Below are 27659 nucleotides of genomic sequence, written 5' to 3'. Positions count from 1 at the left end.
GCAAGAGTAGAGGGATTTTTCAACATTCTGCAGCTGTTACCTATGAAGGAAACATCATTCACTTTGCTAAAAGGAGCTGCACAATTACATACGCTGTTATAGACAAATATTTTAGTGTTTCCTTAATGCTATTTCATAATGGATTTCACATTGAATAAGATAAATTTTACCAATGCTGCCCAATTTCTGTCTCTAGGTTGTTTGTAAAAGAGAGGATGATTACAGTTTTCAAGGCAATGTGGAGTGAAGGTAGAGAAAGAGTTCTTCATGAACGACACAATATTTAGCAAGGTCATAAAGAAATATGCCCATACACGCATATCTATTTAAGTATTCATTTACATATTGTACGTGCATCTCTGTATACATGTTGTGCCCGGTGAACATTTGTGTGAATATAACCTGACGGAAGTCCCATAAAATGACAAAAAATGAAAAACAATGAAACATGTATATGAATGACTACTATAGATGATACAGAAGGTAGACCATTATTCACAAATAATGTAATAAATCCTTTGCCCATCAGATGTTTCTACCTAGATTTGGGGCCTTTAAACATCAACCAATTATGGTAAATGTTTAACTGTAGGAGTTCAGGCAGACAGCCAAATTCTGGTTTCAAAGCTGTTGCTAGTTTTAGCTTAAAGATTTTTTTTTTCATTTTTAAGCAAGAACATTTCTGGATACCGGTTGTGCTCTATTGTGGCTAGAGCCGCTGGGATTTGAATAAGTAAATTGGGCAACACACTGGTCCTGAAGAAATGGGCCTGGCAGTATTACCTGAATGTGGCAAATAATAGGCTACCAAGAGTCCTAGGGAAATACTTCCCATTTATAACTTAGCTCTACTTACCTAAAGCTAGTTTATTCCCACAGACACGAAGAGAGAGAGAGTTGTTTTTCTTAGCCAAGCTCCTACAAAAAACAGCAAGGTTGGGGGATGGGAGCACATCCAATGTTTATGCCTTTTGTTTAGGAAAGCCAGGTATCTGAAATACATACATGATAGCCAACTCCTCTCTGCTCCCCTCCCCCAGGTTTATTTATTTTCTTAACAAGCTTATTAACGAAATTATCAATTTGCATGAAACTGGTTTGAACATTGGCCCTTCCTCAGAATATTTCTTATCTCTTGTGGAAGCACTAACAAAAAGGGTAGAAGAAGGGGCCTAGACAATCCACACGTTGGATTTGCAGCCACTGGATATTTCAGATTCAGCTGCTAAAGCCTCTTTGGTATACACAATGAGGGGCGACTGAAGTGACTTTTCTTAGTCCATTTCCTCTCCTTCTCCCCGTCTCCCGAAGGTACTCCGTGGGTCCCTTCCCTTTCTCTCTTCACAGTCCCTCCTGAGCAGTCCCAAAGCTTCAAACCTTGTTCTCCAACCCCCTTTCCCTAATGTCTCCCAACTACCACCCCCTTCCCCAGTCAAACTCCCCTCCCGGTCACCACCAAAGCCCGGAGAAGTGGAATGCACACAATGCCTCCCTTATAGGGCTTGAGCTGGGAACTGGGCATGCTCAGTAGCCAAAGTAGTTTTTTTTTTTTTTTTTCTTTTGGTCGCAAGTGCGGCATCTCTCCCAGTCCCACGCCTCTCTTTCCTCAACCCCTATCCCCTATCCCCTATCCCCACCCCCAGCTCCAAGATCATCCGGCTTAACCCATTCTGCACCAAAGGCCCACGGAGTTCTAAGGTGCGGATAATTAACCCGTCTCCTTCTAACCCGGCTAAATAGTCTCACTTTAGGCTAAAGCCTCACACTTTCGCCTTAAAGCCCCTGGCCCCTTACGCGCAGACAGGTAGGGGGAGTGCGAATACTACTGGATCCTAGGAAATTGGTTCCCAAGAAGGCTCCTTCCAGGATCGACCGCCACGGAGAAGTATTCCAGGAGCCCTCCGTTCTGCGGGGTGACAATTAGCCAAAGGTACCGTACCCGTGATACAAAATCCAAGTATGATTGTTGCATTTGAATGTCATTGTTGTTGACTCATTCCCCTCCATCCTGTAATTATTCAATTCCGCGTAGACTCGACGACCCTATCGATCTCCCTCGGCCCCCCTCCCCCAGGCTCTCCAGTGTTTCTTTGGCTTTTCCTGGCTTCTTGGTTGCTCTCTCAAAGGAATGCCCCGTGTGTGTGTGTGTGTGTGTGTGTGTGTGTGTGTGTGTGTGTGTGTGTTCCTTCGTTATTAGGGGACTGGAAGAGAAGAAAAGGGCTCGAGTGTGTGTGTATGTGGTGGGGGGGATGGAGGCGAGTGCGCCCTTGTTAGAGGACTGGGGTCTCCACGCCTGAGGAAAGGGGTCGCTCCTCCCTAGGGAATGTTTTAGGCAAAAAGAGGGGGCGGATGCCGGGAGGAAAGCGCGCTGTCTTTCTGGGTGTGTGGGTAGAAGAGGAATCAAATGGGCATGTCTGGATGGGGGACGGGGGTAGGAGCTCAGGAATGTGAGGGGGTCAAAGTGGTCGAGTGTCGGGAGGAAGGACTGCTTGTGTGCGGGGTGGGGGGGGGTGGTGGAGAGCGGGGGCGGGGATTCAGCGCGTGTATGTAAAGGTGCAGCCCGTGTGCTAGGCGCTGGGTGCGCGCGCGGTGTCTGCTCGGGTGCGCGCGCGCGCCGCTGCCCGCCTGCCCGCCGGCCCGCCTGCTCGCCTGCTGGGGCTGCTCCGTGGGTTTGACGGGCGAGCGGGCGCGGAGGAGCTCTGTCCGGAATCACATAGATACCATCGTGGAAACAGCAGCGCAGGTCACGGCGCCGCGGGCCCTGCACCAGACGCTGGGCTCTAGAGGTGGGTGAATTTTCAGCGGGGGCTGCACAAGCTGCACCGACACGCGTGCTGCCTCTTCCCCGCTCAGCTCAGTAGCGCGTGTGCGTGCGTGTGTGTGTGTGAGAGAGAGACAGAGAGAGAGAGAGAGATCTCGCGCGCGCGCACGCGAGCCGAGGGGGCAGGTAGCTTATTATTTTTAGTTTGGGTCCTGTTGGTTTGGGGCCGGTTGAGTGGCCAAAGTGGCCGAGGTGGCTAATCCTGCCCTCCACCTCCCACTTGCCTGCCTACGACGCGGTCTCATGCCGCTGAGGACCGGAAAGGATCCGGGTGTCCTTGGCATCGCTGCCCGCCCCCCCCCCCACCATACCCCAAGCGGCCAGGGCGGCGGGGCAAGTTGTACAGGTCTCGGGTGGCTCCGGCTGTCGGGCCGCTGGGCTGGGTTGGGCTTTATTTTTGCACCCCACTCGCAGCCACTTTCCGCAGACGTGGATCTGAGGCTCGGGGCAGTGGCCCGCGGGTTGGTCGGAGATTGCTAGCGCTCGGCAAGACTAGGAATACCAGAGGAAGAGCCGGTGGGTAACTCTAAAAGCTCTGCAAAGCCAGGCGAGCGCTGCCAGCGCGACTTTGCAAGGGGCCTAAATGTTGAGCTGATTTCTGGCATGGTGAGAGCAGGATTTTTGTAGCTGGCCAGGGAGGGAGAACAGGCAAGGGGGAGCCTGGGCCGCCGCTCGCAGCCACAAAACCACAGGGTCACTCTGCCCGTGGCAAGCAGGTCAGTGACTCCCTAGTGCCAACGTCTTCGAGGCGGCCTGATCTGGCCTCTCTTCCTCCTCACCCACCGCACGCCTGGGTCTAGAGAGGTCCACTGAAACTCCGGCAGCTGCCCCTTGTGGGACGGGAGCGCGCGGAGAAATGTGTGAGCGGCGGGACTGAAGGCCCCCGCGACATCCCGCGCGGTACCCCGCCTCCGCTACACGGACCGCCAGGCTGCTGCTTGGGCCCCTGACGCGGAGGGGGCTGAGCGGCCGGCTCCGGGAACAGGGATGCGGCAAAACATTGCGGTACGCGCTAGCAGCCCCTCCAGCCTCCTCGCCGCCCGCCCGAGGTAGCGCACCCGGGCGGCAATGGCCGGGTCTCTCCGCGAACCTCTTCCACCTCCATCCGAGCCTTAGGCGGGCCAGCGGGGTTTCCCGAGGGAGCTCTCGGGGAGCCACCTCGGCCCACCGCCCTGAAGCCCATCAGTGTTCTGCCCCCCTCAGGCCGCTTCTCTCCTCCCAGTCGCGGAGTGCCAGGCGCTGCACTCCGGTGGATGCAGGATTTGTTTTTGGTCGGGCTAGGTTTGTTCAGTCCTGGCTGGTCGTGAGAGCCAAGGGTCTTTCAGGGCACCGAGAGGAAGACGGACAGCTCCCAGCAGCCACAGAGAAGGCTCTTGGTACCCAGCTGGTACTTTGTGGGCTTTTTCTTTTCTTTTTTGCGTTTTTCCCTTGATGTTTAAATGTGCATGTTTCAGTGGTACCACCGGAGTGTGAGGCTTTATTCGCATACATTCAGTGCTCCCTTTACCCTCTTTGTAGCTCCCTTCTCCGAGTTCTTTTTCTTCCTTTCTCCACATTTCCATGGTCTCTTGCCCTTTCAGTACCTCTTTTCCTCTCTCCTTGGTGGACCAACTGGACTCTTTCTCTCTCTTGCCTGCCCCTCCAGCTGCTTGTGGCTTCCTCTGTTTCACAAGAGCTGCATTTGGGAACTTCCTGGCTCTTACTAGTGCCTTTTCCCCCCCTTGCTACTTAAAGTAGCAATCACCAGGAGGAGGGCAGCTCCTTATGCATTTTCAGATGTGTTGAGATTCCTGGTTCTTGTTTTTGTACTGAATTCGGATTATAAGGATTTTTTTTTTTCTGCGTTTGGTTTTTAGTTTGGTTGCTTTTGGGTTTCTTTGTTTTGAGGTGGGTGGGGTGGTGGTTTAGTAACAAGAAATGACTCAACTGAACCAAAATAGCTGTTGAAAACCACATTCATAACAAGGCAAAAAATATCAAGTGAAATTTTGATTTTACAATGAAAGTTGCTTTAGGTGATGTCATAGTTAAGAATTATGACTTCTTTTTGCAATGCCAATCATGCTCTCATGGTGAATAGGGGAAATGCACGTCTATATGGCAGCCAAATAGCATCTCAGCAGTGCTGGCTGTATTCTGAACCAAACTACTTAAAATGCAAATCCTCCTGGGTCATGGCTAATGGGTTGTCTACCTTGAGACATGTTCGGTTTTACCACTAGCTGATTCCTCGTGGGTAAAATAAACAAAGGAGTTTCTGTGCGACACTTCTTTCTTTGCATCATTTCCTTGTTGTGTGTTCCTGGGTATTTTATGTATTTAATTAATATTTGGAGATAACGATATTGAAATTGCACCCAGCTTCCCATTCACAATGGAAAAGACTAATATTGCTAAAATAGTATCAATAAAATGCACTCTGCTTGTGTTGTTTAATCTTTTCCAGGAAGCATCGTGTATGTTTGTGTATATATGCAGTATTTAAGGACCTGAAAACGATGAGTTATTTTGCTAAGCATTAAACTCTACCAACAAGTGATTCTTTATGCGTTTACAGTCAGGGACATGGGGTGGTAATATTAGGAAGGGCGGGTGGGTGTTTGGAACTGATGATTTTAGGACGAAAAATGTGCTGTACTGAACATATTTGGTGCTGTAGCAAAAGCTACTCAAAGATTGTGTTGTGTGAACTCCCCTTCCTCAGCAGTTGCAGTCTGTGGTCAAAGTGAAAGAGATAAAGCAGTTAAGCCGAGGATCAGTCGGACCTGGGTTCAAAATGGTAAATAAAGATGTGGGAGAGGGCCAGGGAGGCAAGAGAGCCAGTTCTCAAAGTGGAAAGACTGCCTGGAGATTAGCTAAGCAATGCAGGAGTAAGCAGGTTACTCTGCTGCTTTCAGAGGCTCCAAGACAAAAGGCTTTTTGCTCCCTCTTTGGGAGATGACTGACAGGAAATTAGAGACTGTTTATTTACCAGAAAATAAAATTTGGCCATCCCTTACTCAGTTGTTTTTCTAGAACCGCACAGCGTCGTCTGTGTCTTTGAAGGCAGCAGTGTACAGGAGTAAACCGATTGACAGCAATGAACTTACCTATGGGGCTACAGCACAAGCAAATCTCTTCCCAGGTCACTGTTCCTTAGTCTTTTAACAGTCCCTGCTACAGCAGCCCAATCCTCCCATTTCCATCCTCCAGTGAACTCTGGGCTCTAATGTTTTTGTTTTTGTTTTTTTAATTCAGCCTCTCTATCTAGCTGAAGCTTAGAGAATAGATATCCACTAATCAAAATGGCTTTGTGGTACAAACTCGATGGCATACTTGATGGTCTCGGTCATTTGAAGTGCAAGTAGGAAGCTTAAGGCCTGTGTTCAAGGGCAGAGTTTGACGGTCCACGTGGAAAAAATATTTTCAGATTGCAAGATTTAAGCATGATTGATAATATATTTTCCTACTGTTAGTTGTGTGTTCTGCACATGTGAATTTGGTATAAACCACAGGTATGGAAAATAAAATGTATGGCAGTTTTAGTGGTTATTATTGTTCGACTGAGTGAGACTATTTGGAGGTTTGATTGCCTTACAAATACAACTCTGGTAATTATAGCCATGTGTTCACTATGGTATGATTTACATACAAGTAATTTTTCAAGTAATGACCATTGAAAAAATGTTTTCTTTTTATTTTTTAGATTATTTCTCTTTATTCAGAAGCATACAGTTGTTTGCTGATTGCAAGAAGATGTTTCTGTGGCTGTTTCTGATTTTGTCAGCCCTGATTTCTTCGACAAATGCAGATTCTGACATATCGGTGGAAATTTGCAATGTGTGTTCCTGCGTGTCAGTTGAGAATGTGCTCTATGTCAACTGTGAGAAGGTTTCAGTCTACAGACCAAATCAGCTGAAACCACCTTGGTCTAATTTTTATCACCTCAATTTCCAAAATAATTTTTTAAATATTCTGTATCCAAATACATTCTTGAATTTTTCACATGCAGTCTCCCTGCATCTGGGGAATAATAAACTGCAGAACATTGAGGGAGGAGCCTTTCTTGGGCTCAGTGCATTAAAGCAGTTGCACTTGAACAACAATGAATTAAAGATTCTCCGAGCTGACACTTTCCTTGGCATAGAGAACTTGGAGTATCTCCAGGCTGACTACAATTTAATCAAGTATATTGAACGAGGAGCCTTCAATAAGCTCCACAAACTGAAAGTTCTCATTCTTAATGACAATCTGATTTCATTCCTTCCTGATAATATTTTCCGATTCGCATCTTTGACCCATCTGGATATACGAGGGAACAGAATCCAGAAGCTCCCTTATATCGGGGTTCTGGAACACATTGGCCGTGTCGTTGAATTGCAACTGGAAGATAACCCTTGGAACTGTAGCTGTGATTTATTGCCCTTAAAAGCTTGGCTGGAGAACATGCCATATAACATTTACATAGGAGAAGCTATCTGTGAAACTCCCAGTGACTTATATGGAAGGCTTTTAAAAGAAACCAACAAACAAGAGCTATGTCCCATGGGCACCGGCAGTGATTTTGACGTGCGCATCCTGCCTCCATCTCAGCTGGAAAATGGCTACACCACTCCCAATGGTCACACTACCCAAACATCTTTACACAGATTAGTAACTAAACCACCAAAAACAACAAATCCTTCCAAGATCTCTGGAATCGTTGCAGGCAAAGCCCTCTCCAACCGCAATCTCAGTCAGATTGTGTCTTACCAAACAAGGGTGCCTCCTCTAACACCTTGCCCGGCACCTTGCTTCTGCAAAACACACCCTTCAGATTTGGGACTAAGTGTGAACTGCCAAGAGAAAAATATACAGTCTATGTCTGAACTGATACCGAAACCTTTAAATGCGAAGAAGCTGCACGTCAATGGCAATAGCATCAAGGATGTGGACGTATCAGACTTCACTGACTTTGAAGGACTGGATTTGCTTCATTTAGGCAGCAATCAAATTACAGTGATTAAGGGAGACGTATTTCACAATCTCACTAATTTACGCAGGCTATATCTCAATGGCAATCAAATTGAGAGACTCTATCCTGAAATATTTTCAGGTCTTCATAACCTGCAGTATCTGTATTTGGAATACAATTTGATTAAGGAAATCTCAGCAGGCACCTTTGACTCCATGCCAAATTTGCAGTTACTGTACTTAAACAATAATCTCCTAAAGAGCCTGCCTGTTTACATCTTTTCCGGAGCACCCTTAGCTAGACTGAACCTGAGGAACAACAAATTCATGTACCTGCCTGTCAGCGGGGTCCTTGATCAGTTGCAATCTCTTACACAGATTGACTTGGAGGGCAACCCATGGGACTGTACTTGTGACTTGGTGGCATTAAAGCTGTGGGTGGAGAAGTTGAGCGACGGGATTGTTGTGAAAGAACTGAAATGTGAGACGCCTGTTCAGTTTGCCAACATTGAACTGAAGTCCCTCAAAAATGAAATCTTATGTCCCAAACTTTTAAATAAGCCGTCTGCACCATTCACAAGCCCTGCACCTGCCATTACATTCACCACTCCTTTGGGTCCCATTCGAAGTCCTCCTGGTGGGCCAGTGCCTCTGTCTATTTTAATCTTAAGTATCTTAGTGGTCCTCATTTTAACGGTGTTTGTTGCTTTTTGCCTTCTTGTTTTTGTCCTGCGACGCAACAAGAAACCCACAGTGAAGCACGAAGGCCTGGGGAATCCTGACTGTGGCTCCATGCAGCTGCAGCTAAGGAAGCATGACCACAAAACCAATAAAAAAGATGGACTGAGCACAGAAGCTTTCATTCCACAAACTATAGAACAGATGAGCAAGAGCCACACTTGTGGCTTGAAAGAGTCAGAAACTGGGTTCATGTTTTCAGATCCTCCAGGACAGAAAGTTGTTATGAGAAATGTGGCCGACAAGGAGAAAGATTTATTACATGTAGATACCAGGAAGAGACTGAGCACAATTGATGAGCTGGATGAATTATTCCCTAGCAGGGATTCCAATGTGTTTATTCAGAATTTTCTTGAAAGCAAAAAGGAGTATAATAGCATAGGTGTCAGTGGCTTTGAGATCCGCTATCCAGAAAAACAACCAGACAAAAAAAGTAAGAAGTCACTGATAGGTGGCAACCACAGTAAAATTGTTGTGGAACAAAGGAAGAGTGAGTATTTTGAACTGAAGGCGAAACTGCAGAGTTCCCCTGACTACCTACAGGTCCTTGAGGAGCAAACAGCTTTGAACAAGATCTAGGTCATGTAATCTTACTTCATACAGAGGACATTTATTTAATGATGAAAGTGCCTTTTGTTGACTTCTAACTTCCAAATACTATATTATCAATAGGCATGGAGGCAGGTGTTTCCAAGGGTGTCTCATTAACTGTAGCTGCAAAGATGTGTCAAGTAGAAGAGAATTTGTTTAATAGATTTTACTACATAAAACCTATACTGTGGAGTCCTGTGGGGATACTGCAAACTCTATTGCCAAAGGGATGCTTTATACACATAATACTGAATTTAACCTCAAGAGGCAAATCTGTTTTGTACCCCAATGCAAAACCTTCGTCTCTTTGTGCTTTGTAAAGCAAACTCAAGAAAACTGGTACACCTGTACCAGCTGGGTCCTTTATCTTGCACGTAGATTAAGTTGGTGGAACTGGAATAATCCTTTTGATTTGTGGCATTGTAACAACTCCGTGTAAAGATTATCTGAAAAGTAAAAAAAAAAAAAAAAAAAAAAAAAAAAAAAAAAAAGCATGCAAAGAGAGAACACTCGATAGTATTTGTAAATTGGTAACCTTTATGGCCTGCATCTTGAAACCGCTGGATTTATAATGTTAATTTGTGCAAATACTTGTTTAAAATATAACATACATTACATAACTATAAAATAAATTTGAACACTTTAAGCATTACCTGTCTATACATAAAAATCTAAAAGAAAAAATCAACGTGAGTTAGATAGCATTTGTGATGATCTGAAGAAATATGTGACGTTTATCAGAATTAAACATGGCTCAAATTAAACTAACACTAGAGTTTGTTCTCAGTTACGTGAAACACCCACAATCCTTCAAGGTTGTCCAAAATAAGCAGAGTGCTTACTGTGTGAGCGCACCCAAAGCTATTTTTGTAACATAATTCATATTTATGAAGTACTTTGTATACTAAATAGGAAAATATGTACTCCTTAATATGTATTTAATATGCCTGACTTGTTTTCCTGATCACAGTGAATTTATCAGTAAGTATAAATGTAGACAGAAAGAAATATACTAAACTGAAACAAGCTGGTGTGAACAGAAATATTCTGGACTTTGTGATCAGGTGTAACTTAAAAACAAAAAAAATTTAAAACAAACAGAAAAGAAAAAAATACAAAAGAACAGTCAATTCTGTGCTATTCTTGTGAATTTAGCGTATTATCTTCAGATTTGTTACCAATTGTGCATTCAAAAATAAGTTCCTTAGTTTTCTAGTATTGTGTCTGGGGCAGTTGTTATTTGCCATCGGTTGTCTTGCTTTTCAGGATTCTATGAGCTTAATTCAAATAGTTTTCGCTACAAGTATTTAAAAAATAATGAATAAGGTTAATAGTTATATCTTGTATGCATCAGTATCCTGTTCTTTCATCATTCAGACTACTATCAGATAATCTAGTAGAACTGTAAACATCATGGTAATCTTGGCTATGAAAGCCACACTGTAAAAATGCTTGCATTGGTTTCAGATGAGTTCACAGTCTGCAACTACAAATGATATGCCCCTGTGTTTGCTTTTGCTAAGATCTAAGTCAAAATTTGTTAAAGGAATAAAGTAACTGATAATGGGTGATGTCGGAACTTTTGTAGGAGCTCCCGATTAACAAAGTGATATTCAGAAACACATTGTCTTCTTGGCCTGCCTGCATATATATATATAGATATATAGATATATATAGATATACATATATATATATGTGTGTGTGTATATATATATGCGTGTGTATATATATGTGTGTGTATATATATACATATATGTATGTGTGTGTGTATACATATATATATAGTGTGTGTGTGTGCATGTGTGAGAGTGTGTGTCCTATCTCTTATAATTACCTTATGAATCAGTAAGATAACCAAGAAGGTAAACATAGCCATTCCTCATGATTGCAAGTGGCATATTTTTTCTGTTGCAGCTTCCAAAATGATACTATGTTTATAGTTGCAGTAGCTGTTCCTTTATTAATCACTAATTTCAGGGCTTTATGTGTTTGTTGCAAGACAAAAAAAAGAAGCTTGGCTTTCTTGGGTGTGTGTGTATGTGTGTGTGTGTCTGAGTGTGTGTATATATATATATGTGGGTATATATTCATACATATAGATAATTTGGAAATCTTTTTTAAATAGCAAAAACCGTCTCCATGTGTATGTGCTGGTGCTCTTAAAACTTTAGTGTGTAATTTTAATTTTTATGACATCTGTGAAAACTTTATATGAATATAAAATAATTCAAACAAATAATTGCTTTCTGATCTTGAAAGAAAAGACAAGATGTGTGCCCAACAGCTTTTTTCATCTACAATTTCATAAGGACTTTTGATATGCCATTACCATGCATGCACACATCCATGGATTAAAGGGCTCCTAATGTATACTGACAGGATAAAGATGCAAAGGCTTCAAAGAAAGTGTTTTAGTTTAGTCTGTCAATAAAGTATGGCTTGAAGGATCTTAAATAGACACTTATAGGAGGAATCAGAAAGTTCCATTCATGGTCTGGGGATAATAGGTCATTTGAATGATACTTTTATTCAGTGTGGTGATGTTCTGAAGATGTTTCAAGGTTTCTGCAGAATTCTCAATGGCAAGAGTACCTGCCACCATCTCAAAAGCTTGCTGTAGCATATTGGCTATCTCATACTCTTCTGCTAAAAGGTATAAATGTTCAACTTTTTTTAAAAAGTAATTTAACATATGTGGTTATTTGGAGGTTCAAATTGTAAATGAAAGTAACAAATTCTTGGTTAAGGCTAATATATTTTCCTTAACTAAAGTCATTGTGCCTACATTATATAGTGTATACAATTTTGCACCTGTCTCTCATTAGTTCTAGTTGTACATTTTATGATAATGTAGTTAGGTATAAGTTTTGAGTTGAGTACAAGAACAGTTAAAATACTGTATCTACATTTTGTTGGCTTCAACTATAACCTTGATGTTAGTTTAACCCCTGGAGGTATGATATGTACATCAGTACAGCATTTTTAGTGGAACTTGGATGCAAACCTATAAAATCCAAGAAGTGCTCATTTCTAATGTGGGCTGACACATCATGGGCTTCTTGGCACTATAGTCATGGGTATGGACTACGTTAGAATGATTGCAAACAAATTTAGATCTTATGAAATCAGTGAAGGGGTTGAGATAATATATTGTGTCCATGTAATATAAATCAAGTTTTAAATTATTTTTTTATGAAATCAATAAAGATGATTCAATTCTTTAAAAGTAAGACTTTGTGTAATTTTATGAGAAAGCAGCTATTAAAGTAGAGTGATTCAAGTCTATAAGGCAATTTATATTCTATATTTAGTTTTTCATTCTGAATAGACTGAAAAAATATATGAATTAGAAATTTATTTAAGACCATCTTTCTTTTGTTGCTTTTTTTAAACATTTACTTTTCTTTAAGCCATAAGGATGCATAAATTATACAGGGCATGACCTTATGAGTAACATCAACAGGTATTTCAGAAATAACAGAACACGTCTAGAAATGTATGGTGGTAATATTAATCTATAACATTTTTTGCATGATTTGTACATTGACATTGTATGAAATGAGCACACTGAGGTTTTTTTGTTGTTACTGTCGCATCCAAAGAGTTGGGGAGAAACTATATTAAGAATGTATTTATAATCACTATTTTAAAATAAAGTAAAAAAAATATTGTATTGTTTTTACCCTGATTTGATTATCAGTATTTTAGGTTAATTTGTAAGAGAAAAATCAAGTAATGCTGTAAAAGCTCATGTAAATCACAGAAAAGAACTGTTTTAATGACTTTTGTTTGCTTTTAATAACATCAAGGTATTAGAATTTATTAATTGCCATTTTTATGAAAGTATTAATAAAATTGTTTGCTACAATGATATTTCTGAAGCCACAGTTTGTTAAATATATTTGTCTTTCCATTATTTTTCAGAAAAATATAAAGCAGTAACCAAACTGATCATTTCACCCAGATTTGAGGGTAAGATATAGCTTTAGCCTACTGTTTATATTCAACTTAACTGCTAAATCTCTGTTAAAAAAAACGCTTTCTTTAGAAACATATTTTCAATCTGTGTTCCTTCCCACTGGCAGCCCCTTTGGAGAAGAGTCTGACAGTGCCAAGATCAACATGCTTTGATTCTTGCCCATTCTTTTGAATCAGTTGGATTCTGACATAACTTCAGATAAGCAAATACTAATATTCAGTCTTAACTATCTGCTCAAATACTTTTAGAAACCCTTCAGTACCTCTGTATTCCATTGCCAGTTTGCCTGGTTACAGGTTAGTTACCCACTTATGGAGTGAATTGTGATTTGTATTTGGTTCTTTTAAAGATGACCAAAATTATCAATCCATGACTTTACCCAAATTATTACTGTTGTGGAAAATGAACTAATTGCATTACGGTTAACTTGAGGGCAGAAATGAATGTAACTGACTATATTGACCAATACAGTGGGTTTAAGGTTCATATATTTATGGTAAGAAAAGTAAACACAGAAACAGAGAGAGAGAGAGAATATAAATTAAGATTGTTGTTGCTTTACACGTATACATAGGTATGCTGAAGGTGTGAACAGTATAGATAGCATATGCAAGTACTTTTAGACTAAATGCCTTATGCATCTGAGGAGATACACCGTAGGATTGTGTTATTTTATTTATTTATGAGTACTGAGCACAGAGCTTTGGGTTCCAGCCACTTCTGTTATGTAGACAAGTGGCATCAAATCAAGGTTTGGCATCATTTCTAGTGCTCATCCCATTAGTCACTGTGGTCAGATGGGCTGAACTAAAATAAAATATCCTGTTTGTGGCTTCACTTACCTAGAATAACTGGTGACATATATCAAGTTCACCTGATAATTGTTAACTCTCAATTTCAGATTTCCTAAGGATCTATTCTTTGTTAATTTAAAAGCTAATGGGAACTCAAATGAATTTTAATAACTTACTTTGTACAAAACTGCCCTTAATCTAATTTGGAATTTTATTTTGTTTTATTTATTTATTTATTTATTTATTTAATGTCTTTTTAGTTTCTACTGGTTGATAGGATTGTGTTTTAAAAGGGAAAATCGAGGAAGGGAAATTGTGTTGTTTATCTTATAGGAAATGATGGTTTTTTTTAATTTTTAAAAATTATTTTAACCTGTTGTTCTTATGTCTACAAGGGGAAAATAAAGTAGGGCTCTGAGGCATTTGAATATTTTAGACCAAATAATTGCTATTGAGAATAAAGATTCAAGCTTCTCATTAATCCATAATTGACATTTCCACTGACTGTAGGACCCAGAACCAGGAGAGAATTACTCAACCCTCCACTTCAGTTTACTTTTGTAGACACTGCCTAAATAGAAATAGAAATTCTGGTGATTTCAATAACATCAAAAATGACAAATTACCTGTTTAACTTAAAAAGGTCATGAATGAGGCCTTCAGAGAAATAATATTAATAATATAATGAATAACCATAGAGCAGTGCCTTTAAATTAGCTATAGGAAGGAAATAGTCTTTTCAAGTTTCTGAACAATATATTTCTCTTAGTTGGCACCTCACAAATACTAGATCATGTCAGACGCTGCTGGTTAATAGCTGCAGGAAGGCATGTTGTGCAGTGGATATTGCTCATGGAAGTGTGTGAAAATCATAGTAAGCTTTGTTCTCCCTGCTAAGACTTGCTATGTATATTTCCATCATTGTTTCATGTAAACTGAACCATTGTGGTAAACTTTTGGAGTTGATATGGAATCACTTTAATGCTGTTTTCACAAATAAAAGTTTTTTCTTATAGGTCACATTTGTAGCCATTCAGTGTGTTTATTAGTGTGGAATTAGTAAAGCTCAAGCTCAAAAAGAAATGCAAATAGTCTGGTTTTTAGCTGATGCAATCAATATATTAGTTTACATGGCTAGGCCAGGTCTACCTACACACATACACATGCATACACATAAGAAAGATAGAGAGTAATGTGTGCAAATAGTGAATTATACACAAAGGGAATTATCTAGTTAATGTAAACAAAATATTTCTATCTTGACTACCTACTTGACCACCTAGATGTTTCAAATCCAAGTAGATTGGGACCTAAATATTAATTGTCCTTTTTTTTTTTTTCGCCTACACTTGAAATTAAAACCTGACCACTTTGTCATATATAGTAGAAATTATGCCCAGCTTATCTCCCAAGACTTCTCTGGGTTTCAGTTATTTGTTGTCTTGAGATTTTATTTTGATTTTCTTTGTTAACATTTTTCATCACTATCATCTCCAAATTATATGCTTAATAAATGTATAGTGCTGTGTACAATTTTCAGGCAACCAGCCCAGGTGCAAATCAGTGCTGCTACTACCTTTCACAAACGTTATTCAGAGAACTGTGCAGGAGCATTTAAATCCAAAATAATCCCAGGATGAGGATTTAATTAGAAATTATTGGAACAGGTATGTTTTTTTCCCCTTAAAGAAGGAAAAGTTGGTTGAAAATTATGACTAAAGAGCAGCAGGAGAACAAAGGAGTATTAAGAGAAAAAATATTTACTTATCAGATGGAATTCAGAACTTAAATACTGAACAAATGTATCATAAAATAAGTCAAATTATAGATTTCTTTCTCCTTATTATTTACCTCGGCTTTATTTCTTTTAAACAGATATGAAATCTAGGCTTTGTCAACACAATAGTAATTTATAGCTTTTATAGAATCCACTGGTCAATTAAAACATTTAATTACCTTTGCAACCCCTATGGATTTTTTTCTTAGTTGACTAACATCAAGGACTGACTGATTCTCAAAGCCTCCCAATACAGTTTTAGCTGTCAAAAAATGATAAGTAGCATTTGTGTTTAATGAGAATAAGAGGTGAAAAATGCATATCACAGAAAACCATCATGATAGGGAGCAAAATAAATTAGTACAAACATTTGGGTTCCCAGATACAAACACTTGTGGTCAAAAAGCTGCCAGACCTTTTGGGCTGTTTTCAGAAATCTTATTTTTAAAAAAAATATATCAAGTGCCTATTTCAGAAGCTATTTCCTGTACGAATCCCCAGGAAGCCATGTATCTGCCATGGATCCCCTTGCTCCATAGCAAGATGTGTCACATTTGCCAAGTCCTCCCTGCTGGAAATTTTTCTCTTCTGCTGTTACAAGCAACCAACACTGTCTATGGCATTGGCTAGCTTAGGGAGAATTTTTTCACTGTTTTTTGGTAGTTGGTGGTAATATGGACAAAAAATCTAGGAGTCTCAATACCGGCATATATTTACCTTTGTAATATTACCATACTGGAGAGCATTTGGGCCTGTATATTTTACACATTGCATCTTTGTTTTTATTCATCAGTTGTCCTCCATCCCACAGAAGCTACTAGTTATTTTATTCATCCCTCTCTTTCAAAGTAGAAGCTGATCACCATCCTGAAATCTCAGTTATTTATAGAAATAATCATCACACTTCTATGTGTCCATTTCCTTCTATAACTTCTAGAAATATAGAAAATTTAGTACAGTAAGTGATGGATTTAAAAGGAAGTCCTACTGACACACAAAAAAATCATGATATGAAGACAGAGTGACTTACCAGAAAAAAACAACTTTAGGAAGTCATTTCTTAAGTTTTAGGTTTCCTTGCTTTGCAATTAGACTTCAGTGCCTTCGCTTGTGAGCTGGACCCAATGAAATCAGTTTTCACTCTGGGGCCGCGCAATAACTAGAAATGATATTATTGCTGACATGTGGGCAGCTTTGCCATGTGTTGCCATAAACATGGCTGCTATTTTCTCCTTGCACTTTCTACTTCAGAAAATATTCATTCTCTCAGATTTGGCACAGCTGCTGAAATGCTGCTGTATCAATTCTCACCATGAAAATTCAAAAAGAATTTTTTTTCTATATGTAACTGAGCAGTTACACAAAAATGTGTATTGGAAACTGGATAAAAACATCAGGATAAAGAAGATAACTAGTGTGTTCATAAGAAAAGAGGGTTTTAAGGAAGTGAAATGCAGGCATTTTATTAAAAATTACATCTACCACCTCCCTTTGAACTTGTCGACTTTTTGAAGACTCCAGTGTATGCATTATAAGGGGAATAGGACTCTGTTTATACGCAGCATTTTCACTCTCTGCTCATTCTTCTTGGTTGCCTAGGCTGGGCTGCAGTGGAGAATGTGTGAACAGTAACTTTGTTTTTAAATCCCAAATGCATATATGATTTCAGTTGCTCATTTGAATATTAACACATTGGACATGGCCAGTTTCTAACATAATATTTTTACTACAGCCAATTGAGACTTCACTGAATGACCTTTATTTCATCTTAAAGGTTATCAGAGCAGGGGTAAACTAAGAGGCTGTTGGTCAGTTTCAATGTTTAAAGACCATCACAGGAAGATTGAGTATATGTACTCCGAATTTCCAAGTCAGATTATTTGGTCCCAATTTCTTCTCTTTTGAAAGAGTAACTAGGGCTAGAGAGGGCAAGTGACTTGCCCAAGGTCAAAAAATTATTACAGCTAGTCTGGTCTAGGACCTGATTCTCCTCACTCGCAGGATCAAGTTATTTTCATTACACTGCTTTGTTTGCAAGTTCCAGGGAGGAAAATGAGCATCTGTGGGTGAAGCTTCAGGCAGACATTCCAATGCAGCATAAGGACATTTTCTGTAAGGTTTTAGAATGCTCTATAACTGGAATGAACTAGATACAAAATGCAGAGCTCTTAGTCCTTAGAAGTGTTCAAGCTGAGGATGGTTCTAACAAGGAGGATGGATGTCATTCAAGAAAATTTATTTGAATGCGAGCTTGGACTAGGTGATCTTGGAGGACACTTGAAACTCTTAAGACACCAAGGATTCTGTAGTGTATACACTATAATCATTTACCAAGCAAGTCAAAACTATCAAATATTTTTCATCTGGAATATTTAATTAATTGATCTTTGTAGTTTAATGACTAGCAGATGATCTCTACTAGTAGAATAACATATTAATAACTCCAAAAATACCAGTTAGGTATTAGGCATCATGATAAAAGGGACATAGAGTGAAATCTCCCCCACTATATAATGTTTGTGTTTTTAAGTGTCAGCATTTCAAAAAGAATAGTCTCTGATGTTTAATCTTTTTACAAAGGAAAAACAAATTCTTTTGTACATTACACTGAAGATGGCACTGTAGTGACAACCCCACACTAGAAATGCTGAGACATGCCGGTATATGTTATTTCAATCCTCAATTTCAATTTTGAGAATATTTCTTGAGCTTGGAAAACGGAACACAAAGGTTAATATCTTGTAACATCATCTTTGCTAATTGGAGTTGGGTGCATTTTTTTTATAATTTACTCTCAATAAGATAGAACTGAACTTTATTCCAAAGAATTGCAGTTCAGGTTGCAGCTCAACAGACTATATTCAGAATAGAAACTGCAAATTATCTGACCTGTAAAAATTATTAGAAATATTTATTTGAATTTTATTCCATAAAGATAGTTTTCTTTTAAAAAAAAAAAAAAAAGTAAAGGGAAAATAAAACCATTCCGACCTCAAGGACTGTTTGTTCTATTTATTTGGGATGCTATTAATTTTTAAAGATTCTGGGTACACCCAGGATGACTCTGAAATGCAATTTCTAGGTTTTCTTTATTCCATCCATATCATTAACTAGAGCTCCAGCGAATGTGGCTACCATGCAATTCCTGGTCCCTTTAATCACAAAGAGTATTCCCTCAGGTACCAGCAACTCATTCAAAATTAGCAGTTTTATACTTTGGAGTCGTACTTCACTTTTAAATAGTCACAGTGTTAAACATATACATAACCTCTGCCCAAGTGATTTTATGTTTTAGTAGAGAAGAATAGAAGGGAATAAAAATATTTACTTTGACTTAACACTGATGTCCAAGGCCTGTTGACCCTCCGGCCTTCCCTCTCTCTTCATCTCACATGCCTATGGATGATACCACTTTATCTGTCTGCTCCCTGTGCAGTCTCATAGCTCCTCATTCAAACATTACCTCTTGTGACAGTGGCCATATGCCCCCACCCTCACTAAAACTGTTTCTGTTTAACAATGTTTTTTTTTTCTGATAATTCAAATTCAGATACCAGATTCACATGCTGCTAATTCACAAGCCCGTCAAATATGTCAGTACTCTGAGACATTTTCAAGAGAGGACATCGGCCGGGTGCGGTGGCTCACGCCTGTAATCCCAGCACTTTGGGAGGCCGAGGCGGGCGGATCACGAGGTCAGGAGATCGGGACCATCCTGGCTAACGCGGTGAAACCCCGTCTCTACTAAAAATACAAAAAATTAGCCGGGCGCGGTGGCGGGCACCTGTAGTCACAGCTACTCGGGAGGCTGAGGTGGGAGAATGGTGTGAACCCAGGAGGCGGAGCTTGCAGTGAGCCGAGATGGGGCCACTGCACTCCAGCCTGGGCGACAGTGCGAACTCTGTCTCAAAAAAAAAAAAAAAAAAAAAAAAGAGAGGACATCGAGGAGTGGAAGAGGAGACCACGTTAGTCAAATAATGGTGTTTCAGGCCTGGGACAAGCAGTGGACTAGGGGACCTCCTTGGTATCCTTCAGTCTTAACCATGGGTAAATCTGGTACAGTTCAGACCAATAAGGAGAGAGGCTGACTTTAACCTTCTCTCAGGAAGTCCCGTCTGGTGTCTCCTTAGTGGCTTTCATTCATTCCATATTATTCATATTAGAGTGGAAGGAGTGGGAGCCAGTTAGGTAAGGCTCTCTTGTGGAAATCACATTTAAATGAAAGTCTTGAGGGGTGAAGTTCATGAGCGGCTGAGCAGTAGGGTTGAGGAGGGCCTGTGAGGTTGAGAGAACAACATGGGCTTTGACTGCAGTGTGGGAATTAACTCACTATGTGGTACTGGTCAGGTAGGCAGTGCCTAGATCAAGGGTTGGCAAACTTTTTCAGAAATAATTTTCTGAAATAGCAAATATTTGAGGTTTTACAGACCACATTGTCCGTGCTTCGACTAGTTAACTGCTGTTGTAGCACAGAAGCAAACACAGACGACAGGTACACAAATGGATGTGACTGTGTGCCAATAAAATTTTGTTGTCCAAAATAAACTAGGGGATGGATTTGACCTACAGGCCAGAGGTGTCAACCCCTTGGCTAGATTCTGAAGGGTCTTGAAGGAGTTTTACTTTCAGGTGCTTTGGGAAGTCAATGAAGATTTTTTAAAAGCAGTGCAGTGGCATGATTAGGTTTGTTTCCAACAGACTTCCTTCTGCTTCTGGAGGCTGGACTAGAGGTGGTGAGGAGCAGAGTATAAGTGGGGAAAGAAGTCAGGAAGCTCTTGCAATAGTGCCGACCAATTATAAACCTAATCCCAGCTAAGATGAAGGAAGAATAGGGTTGTGAGCTATATTTTGAATGTCGACTCCATAGCACTTGCCAATATACTGGATATGAAGGTCGAGGGTGACAGTGGAATCAAGGAAAACCCTGAGTTCTGTGCCATGAGCACCTGCGCTGATAAAGATGCCATTCTCTGAGATGAGGACCTCTAGGTTAGCAGTGGCTGTGGAGGGTAGACATTACGAGACAAAGAGTTTCATTTTGGTGGCCGGGCATGGTGGCTCACGCCTGTAATCCTAACACTTTAGGAAGCTGAGGTGGGCGGATTGCCTGAGCTCAGGAGTTCAAAACCACCCTGGGCAACATGGTGAAACACCATCTCTTCTAAAATAAAAAATTAGCCGGGTGTGGTGGCATGCGCCTGTAATCCTAGCTACTCAGGAGGCTGAGGCGGGAGAATCGCTCGAGCTCGGGGGACAGAGATTGCAGTGAGCCAAGATTGTGCCACTGCACTCCAGCTTGGGAGACAAGAGTGAGACTCTGTCTCAAAAAGTAAATAAATAAATAAATAAATAAATACATAAATAAATAAAATAAAGTTCCATTTTGGACGTGTTAAATTTGAAATGGCTGAGAATCTTCAAATTGTCAGATTGTTGACTTTGTTCAACAGGATCTCTGAGGAGAAGCTTAGGCCACAGACAGGATTGAGAATTACTATCGTTTTGAAACTGAAGGTCATGGAGGAAGGTCACAGAATGAAAAAAAAACAAGACCCTGCAATGACTGCAGGTGCTTCAGAGCTTTCCTTTTCAGTGTCATCTGTACTGTGCGCATTCTGCATCAGAATCTCCTGAGGTGCTTGTTAACATTCAGACTCTTAGGCCCCATCCCAGACCTTCTGAGTCAAAATTTTTGTGGTCAGGACTCAAGGAATATCCATTTTGAAGTTCTTAGGTTATTCTTATTTACATTAAACTGTGAGAGTGTCTACTGTTTAGGTAACTTAGAAGATAAAATACCTGCAAAAAAGGGAAATGGTGAGCAGACAGCATGACAGAAAACTAGGAAGCTGTGGGGTCCTGGGAGCAAAGAAAAAAAGAGCATTCCGCAAAGGACGCCGTGACTGACTATGTCCAGTGTTGCTGAGCGACAGCAGTGCTATTTAAGCATGCTTTTCTGGTATTGGCCTCACTGAGATTGCATGAAAGACTGATGTCAGAACAGCTGTGGGATTCCATTCCCTAACAAGAGACAGACTCTTGGAAAGAAACTCCACAGAGAGAAGGGATGGTGGATGAGAAATGGGAGAGAATAATCAGGACCACAGTAGTGGGCAAAGTGAAAGCAAAAGATCAGTGCAAGAAAGACTTTAGGATTCCAGTGGTGAGACATGGAAACAGCAAAGCCAGCAGCAGGATTATACCCAGAGTAGGAGGTCAAAGTGAGCACCTAGAGTCAGCACCAGAGGGCAACAGGGGTGGGCTGTGGTGGAAGCTCACCAAACTCTAGCACTTTATAAATGACTTTATGTCCCACAGTCCTGCCCCAACAGAGATGAGGAACACAGAGAGGAATCTTGGAGCTTTAGCTGTTTTCTGTGGTCTTTGGACGGAAACAAATTCGGCCAGGAAAACCCGACTACCACCCCTACTCTGTCATGGAAATTTTTCCTTAATAGAGAATGCTTTTTAAATTCAAGTTAATGCATATGCACTGAATGCCTACTACGTGTTTTCTCTGGGCTGGATGATGGAAGAGACAGGAGAGTTATACCAAGTCCCACCCAGTTCCCACGGAGCTTACAATCTAGTGGAGGAGGCAGGTATGAAAGTGACTAACTAGAATATCACATCCTTAATGCTGTAACATAAAGGGAATGTGCTGCTTGAGCAGGCGCTGAGCTATAGGGCACAAGGAAGGCTTCATGGTAGAGGTACATTATGACCTAACCTTTGAAGGATGGATTGGATTTTGATAGAAGAGGGATGTTCCAGCTGAGAGAATAGTGTGTGTAAAAGCAGAGAGGGGTGGGGAAGTTTGGTGTTCTCGGGATATTAGGTGGTTCAGTGTGGCTGGAGCATGTACCTCCTGAGGGCTGTCTCCACTGCTTACCTGCCATGTCCCTCTGACTCAAAGGGACCCCAAGCTCAAAATATGACATACTGAATTCATCATTCTCTCTGCACAGAATATTCTTCTAGTCTTTGCTATCCTAGTGGCCAGCCCCTCAGCTACCTGGATACTCCAGCTAGAATCCTGGGCATCATCCTGAGCCCCTCTATATCCTTCACCCCACAGAAGCAAGACCTGGGGTTTCTGAGTGCTTCTTACCTACCAGTCATTGTTCTAAGCACTTAGCAGGTGCCATTTAAATTAACTCTTTTTTTGCCATTTATACTATTTATTGAACCCCAGATTAATGTTTTGTAGTATATATTTGTAAGATGTACGACATGATGTTTTGATATACATATACATAGTGAAATTATTACTGTAGTCAAGCAAATTCACCTATCCATCACCTACTATAGTTACCGTTTGTGCGTGTGTGTTAAGAGTACCTAAAGTCTACTCTCTTAGCAAATACTCAGTATATAATACAATATCATTAACTATAGTTGTCATGCTGTACATTAGATCTTCAGAATTATTCCTTCTAATAAACGCAAGTTTCTATCTAACCATTTACCTACTTATTCCTAGTTCCTCCCTCTTCCTGCTCCTGGTAACCAGGATTCTATCTGTTTCTATGCATTAGCTTTTTTTTTTTTTTTTTTAGATTCTCCATATAAGTGAGATAATTTAGTATTTCTTTCTATGCTTGACTTATTTCATTTAGCATAATGTCCCCTGGGCTCATTGGCAGTATTTCCATTTTAAAGGCTGAGCAATATTCCATTGTATGTATATACCACATTTCCTTTATCTATTTATATATACACAAGCATTTATATTATTTCCATGTCTTGGACATTGTAAGTAATGCAGCAGTGAACACAGGACTGCAGATATGTCTATAGGTGCTGATTGTTTCCTTTGAGTATACACCCAGCACAGGAATTGCTAGATCATATGGCAGTTCTAGTTTCAATTTTTTTAGGAAGCTCCATTATGTTTTTTATAACGGCTGTACCAATTTACATTGCCACCAATAGTGTATAAGAATTCCCTTTTCTCTATATCCTTACCAACACTTATCTCTTGTCTTTTTGATAATAACAATCCTAGCAGGTGTGAGGTGATAGGTTGTTGTTTCTATTTGTATTTTCCTGATGCTTAGTGATGTTGAGCACCTTTCCATACATCTGTTGGCCATTTTTATGTCTTCTTTGAAAAAATGTCTATTCAGGTCCTATGTCCATTTTTAATCAGGTTTTCTTTTTGTTCTGCTATTGAGCTATGTGAGTTTTAAAAATTACATTCTAGATATTTACCATTTATCTGATATATGGTGTGCAAACATTTTCTCCCAGTTTGTAGGCTACCTTTTTCACTTTGTTGGTTGTTTCCTTTGATGTGCAGAAGCTTTTTTGGTTTGATATAGTCCTACTTGTTTATTTTTGCTTTGGTTGCCTGAGATTTTGGCATGATATCAAACAAATGTTGGCAAGATCAGTATCATAAAACTTTTCCCCAATCTTTTCTTCTGGCAACTTTATGTTGTAGGCACTACAATTGTCCCTAATTTACAGACTAAAAATGGAAGCAAAAGGAGATTTTTAAAATTTGCCCAAACTTGTACACTGGTACACTTGTACACTGGTTCCAGTGACAAAGCTGGAAAACACACCCAGGCATTTTGACTATATATCCCACACTTTCCTGTATCATGGTGTATGGCTCCTACAAAATGTAAACTCTTTACCATGGTCTGCATAACCAGTATGGCTGGGCCTTTGCCAGACTCTCTAGCCTTAACTCACACCATAGACTCCCTTTCTTTCTTAATATTTTATGTGACATGGTGAACTAAATGGACAAGGCAGTTTGCATTCCTCTGTCTAAAACACTCTTTATTCCTCTCTTTGTCATGTTGACTTCTGTTCTTATCTTAGATATCAGCTTATTCACCACCTCCCCTAAGAAGCCCCACCTATATATCCCCATAGTACACTGTGCTAATGCATTTCAGCCCTTGGCACCTTGAATCAAAAAGGCATGTTTTCTTATCTGTAACCTACAACTAAAATAAGAGCTTCTGGAGCACAGGATCTATATTCTGTTTATCTTTTATCACCAATGCGTAGCATAGTACCTAGAAGGTAGTATGTGGTAAACAGATATTTGTTGAATCAATAAATATATTAATGGTTATGACAGCAAATGAAATGTGAGAGGGTTAGTTTAGAGTCAAATTATTGAAAACTTTGGAGGACATGTTAAGATGTTTGACTTTTTTTTTCTGCAGGCAATGGGGAGCCATTGAAGATTTTTGAGAAAGGAGAGACATTATCTGACATTTTTATTTTGGGAAGATGAGTCTGCTAATTTGTGGAGATTGGAGAGAGAATTATGAAGGCAAGAAGATAATTAGGATATTATAAAGATAATTAGAAAATTAAAATATCAGTCAACTTTTGCTGCCTAAAATACTGCCTTCAAACTCAGCTGCATACACTGCAGGTTGGCTACTTCAGCCGATGGGTCTGTAGGTCAATTGCATAGGCTCTGCTTTAGACTGCAGGTGCGTGGGTTGGCTGATCTAGACTGATCTGGGCGGTTTTATTATCGAATTGAAGGTTCAGTTCTATCTTTTTGATTTGTCCCTTATTCTTCTGGGATATTTAGGGGAAACTGGACATTCAGGGGAAGCTCTTCACCTAGCATTGTCACCAGTACAAGAGGACAAGCCCAACTACACAAGTATATATCAAGCCCCTGCTTGTGTCTTATCATTGACCAAAGCAGGTACAAAAGGAAGCCCAACATCAACGAGGCAGGAAAAAAAAGACTCTTCCCATGGAAGTTAAAGGGAAAGGAGTGACTGTTTGATGAACAATAATCACCACAGATGCTATTGATATAGTACAGATCAGTAGTTGTCAACTGGGGAGTACAAAGGCATGCTCCACCTTGAAAGGTGAAACAAAATTTTAGGGAAGGGGTAACCACGTATGTGTCTTTTAAATCGTACCTTCACCCCTGCCTTTCAGAATCGTTTCTAGTATGATTTTTACTAATTAGAGTATCAAATCCATGAAATCTGGTGGGATGGAATAAAAGTTTGGAAAATATTACTGCAGAGGATAACTGAAACAGGCCTAGAAGATGAGAGGAGAAACACATAAAAAGGCAAATAATTGGATTCAGCGGATAGGGAACAAGAAAAGTCAGTGACGACCTGAAGTGTTAGAGACCAAGTGATCAGTAACATAGAGATGGTTTGAATGAAGATAGTGAGGGAGAAAGGCGTTTATTAATTGAAGAATCAGGATGCATTGATTATGTACAAGCCCCTTATTCACAGACGTGGATAAGATGTGGTACCTGTCCACACGTCTTACAGTCCAGTGAACACAAGACTTGTGCAAGTAAGACATATACACAGGTAAATATTAGATGTTCTTGAAAGAGGTGAATGCCATAGGGAGAAGAAGAAATTGCGAGAGCTTAATTCCACCTGTAGAAATCAGTAGTGGGGAAGATGACAATAAATCTTAGTGCTAATGTATAGGTGAATTTGGAAAAGTAGCAGAGAAGGTCAGGGAGATAGCCTAAGCAAAGGTACAGAGAAACAAGTGTCTGGGATGCATGCAAGGCAGTATATATGAAGGGATGGTGAGAAATGGTGCTAGGCATGTTGGCATTCTTCAGGCCTCTTGTGATGGCAAGAGAAAAAAAGTCCAAACTGGATTAGGTTAGACAAAAAGGGAATTTTCTAGGAAGTGCTAAAGAATCTCAGGAACCCATGTGAAGGACAGTGTATTAGTCAGAGTTCAGTAGAGGAACAGAACATATACATATATATTCATTAAGTATTAGCTCACACGATCACAAGATCCCACAATAGGCCGTCCGCTAGCTGAGGAGCAAGGAGAGTCAGACCGAGTCCCTAAACTGAAGAACTTGGAGTCTGATGTTTGAGGGCAGGAAGCATCCAGCACAGGAGCAAGATGTAGGCTGGGAAGCTAGGCCAGTGTAGTCTTTTCATGTTTTTCTGCCTGCTTTATATTCTAGCCACACTGGCAGCTGATTAGATGGTGCCCACCCAGATAAATGGTGGGTCTGCCTTTCCCAGCCCACTGACTCAAATGTTAATCTCCTTTGGCAACAACCTCACAGACACACATAGGATCAACACTTTGCATCCTTCAATCCAATCAAGTTGACACTCACTCAGCATTAAACACCACAGACAGGGAAAGTGTAAAGTTGGCTATGATGTAATGACAGGAAGCTACTGAGTATTTCTCTTCAGCTGACATCTCTACTTGTCTCTATTTTTTTCCTTTTCTGCCACTCTTTTGTGCCAAACCAACTGTCTTAGTTCATTTTTTGCAGCTATAACAGAATACCACAAACTGGGTAATTTATAAACCATATAAATATATTTGGTTCATCATTCTGGAGGCTGAGAAGTCCAAGCGCATGGTGCCCACATCGGGTGAGGGTCATGCCATGATGGAAGACATCGCATGATGAAATCTGTGTGCAAGACAGAGAGAGGAATTGGGCTGATCACATCCTCATTATGAGGAACCCATTCCTTTGATAAACTAACCAATTCCCAAGATAAAGACATTAGTCCTTTCATGAGGGTGAAGCTCTTATAACCTAATCACCTCTTAAAGATCTTACTCCTTAACACCACTATAATAGCAATTAAATTTCAGCATTTGTTCCAGAGGGGATATTCAAACTATAGCACCAATCCATCCACAAATTCTGTTAATTATAACTTGAACATGTATCCAGAAACTTCCCACTTCCCACTATTCCACAGCTAGCACCTAGGTCAAAAGCTTCATTTTCTGTTTCCTGTATAATGCACTGGCCTTCACACTGGTCTCCCTGCCTCTACCCTTGTATTTCTTCAGTCTGTTCTTAACATGGTAGGCAAAGGGATATTTTAAAATGATGTAAAATGATATTTTAAAATGAGGTCATGTCACCTCTCTCTTCTAAACCCCATTTCTCTCAAAATTAAAAGCTAAAGTTTTTATAATGGGCTATAAGTTCCTATGTAACCTAACCTCCACTACTGTTCTGACCTTACCACCTCTTACTTTTTCCTCATTCACTTTGTT

At 40.3% G+C, this 27659-nt stretch overlaps 1 protein-coding gene across 6 annotated transcripts; it reads left to right on the top strand.

Moving 5' to 3' along the window:
* SLITRK4 (SLIT and NTRK like family member 4) lies at positions 1564 to 14875 on the top strand. 6 transcript variants are annotated; one of them, NM_001184749.3, is made up of 2 exons: positions 1564 to 1930; positions 6507 to 14875. In NM_001184749.3, exon 2 carries the CDS (start codon positions 6557 to 6559, stop codon positions 9068 to 9070), a length of 2514 nt encoding a protein of 837 aa, NP_001171678.1. In that variant the 5' UTR covers positions 1564 to 1930; positions 6507 to 6556; the 3' UTR covers positions 9071 to 14875. The 6 variants fall into 6 exon arrangements, 5 of the variants coding, with proteins under 5 accessions (NP_001171678.1, NP_775101.1, NP_001171679.1 ...); NM_173078.5 differs by lacking the exon at positions 1564 to 1930 and adding an exon at positions 2574 to 2786; NM_001184750.2 differs by lacking the exon at positions 1564 to 1930 and adding an exon at positions 3162 to 3337.

This window comes from Homo sapiens, chromosome X (assembly GCF_000001405.40).
Source record: "Homo sapiens chromosome X, GRCh38.p14 Primary Assembly".
Lineage (NCBI taxonomy): Eukaryota > Metazoa > Chordata > Mammalia > Primates > Hominidae > Homo > Homo sapiens.
Note: the sequence above shows the minus strand (reverse complement) of the source record. Positions and strands in the feature narration are given on the sequence as shown.

Bases quoted from the DNA above. Each gene is read 5' to 3' on its own strand.
- SLITRK4 (NM_001184749.3), top strand. From the start codon at position 6,557: ATGTTTCTGTGGCTGTTTCTGATTTTGTCAGCCCTGATTTCTTCGACA.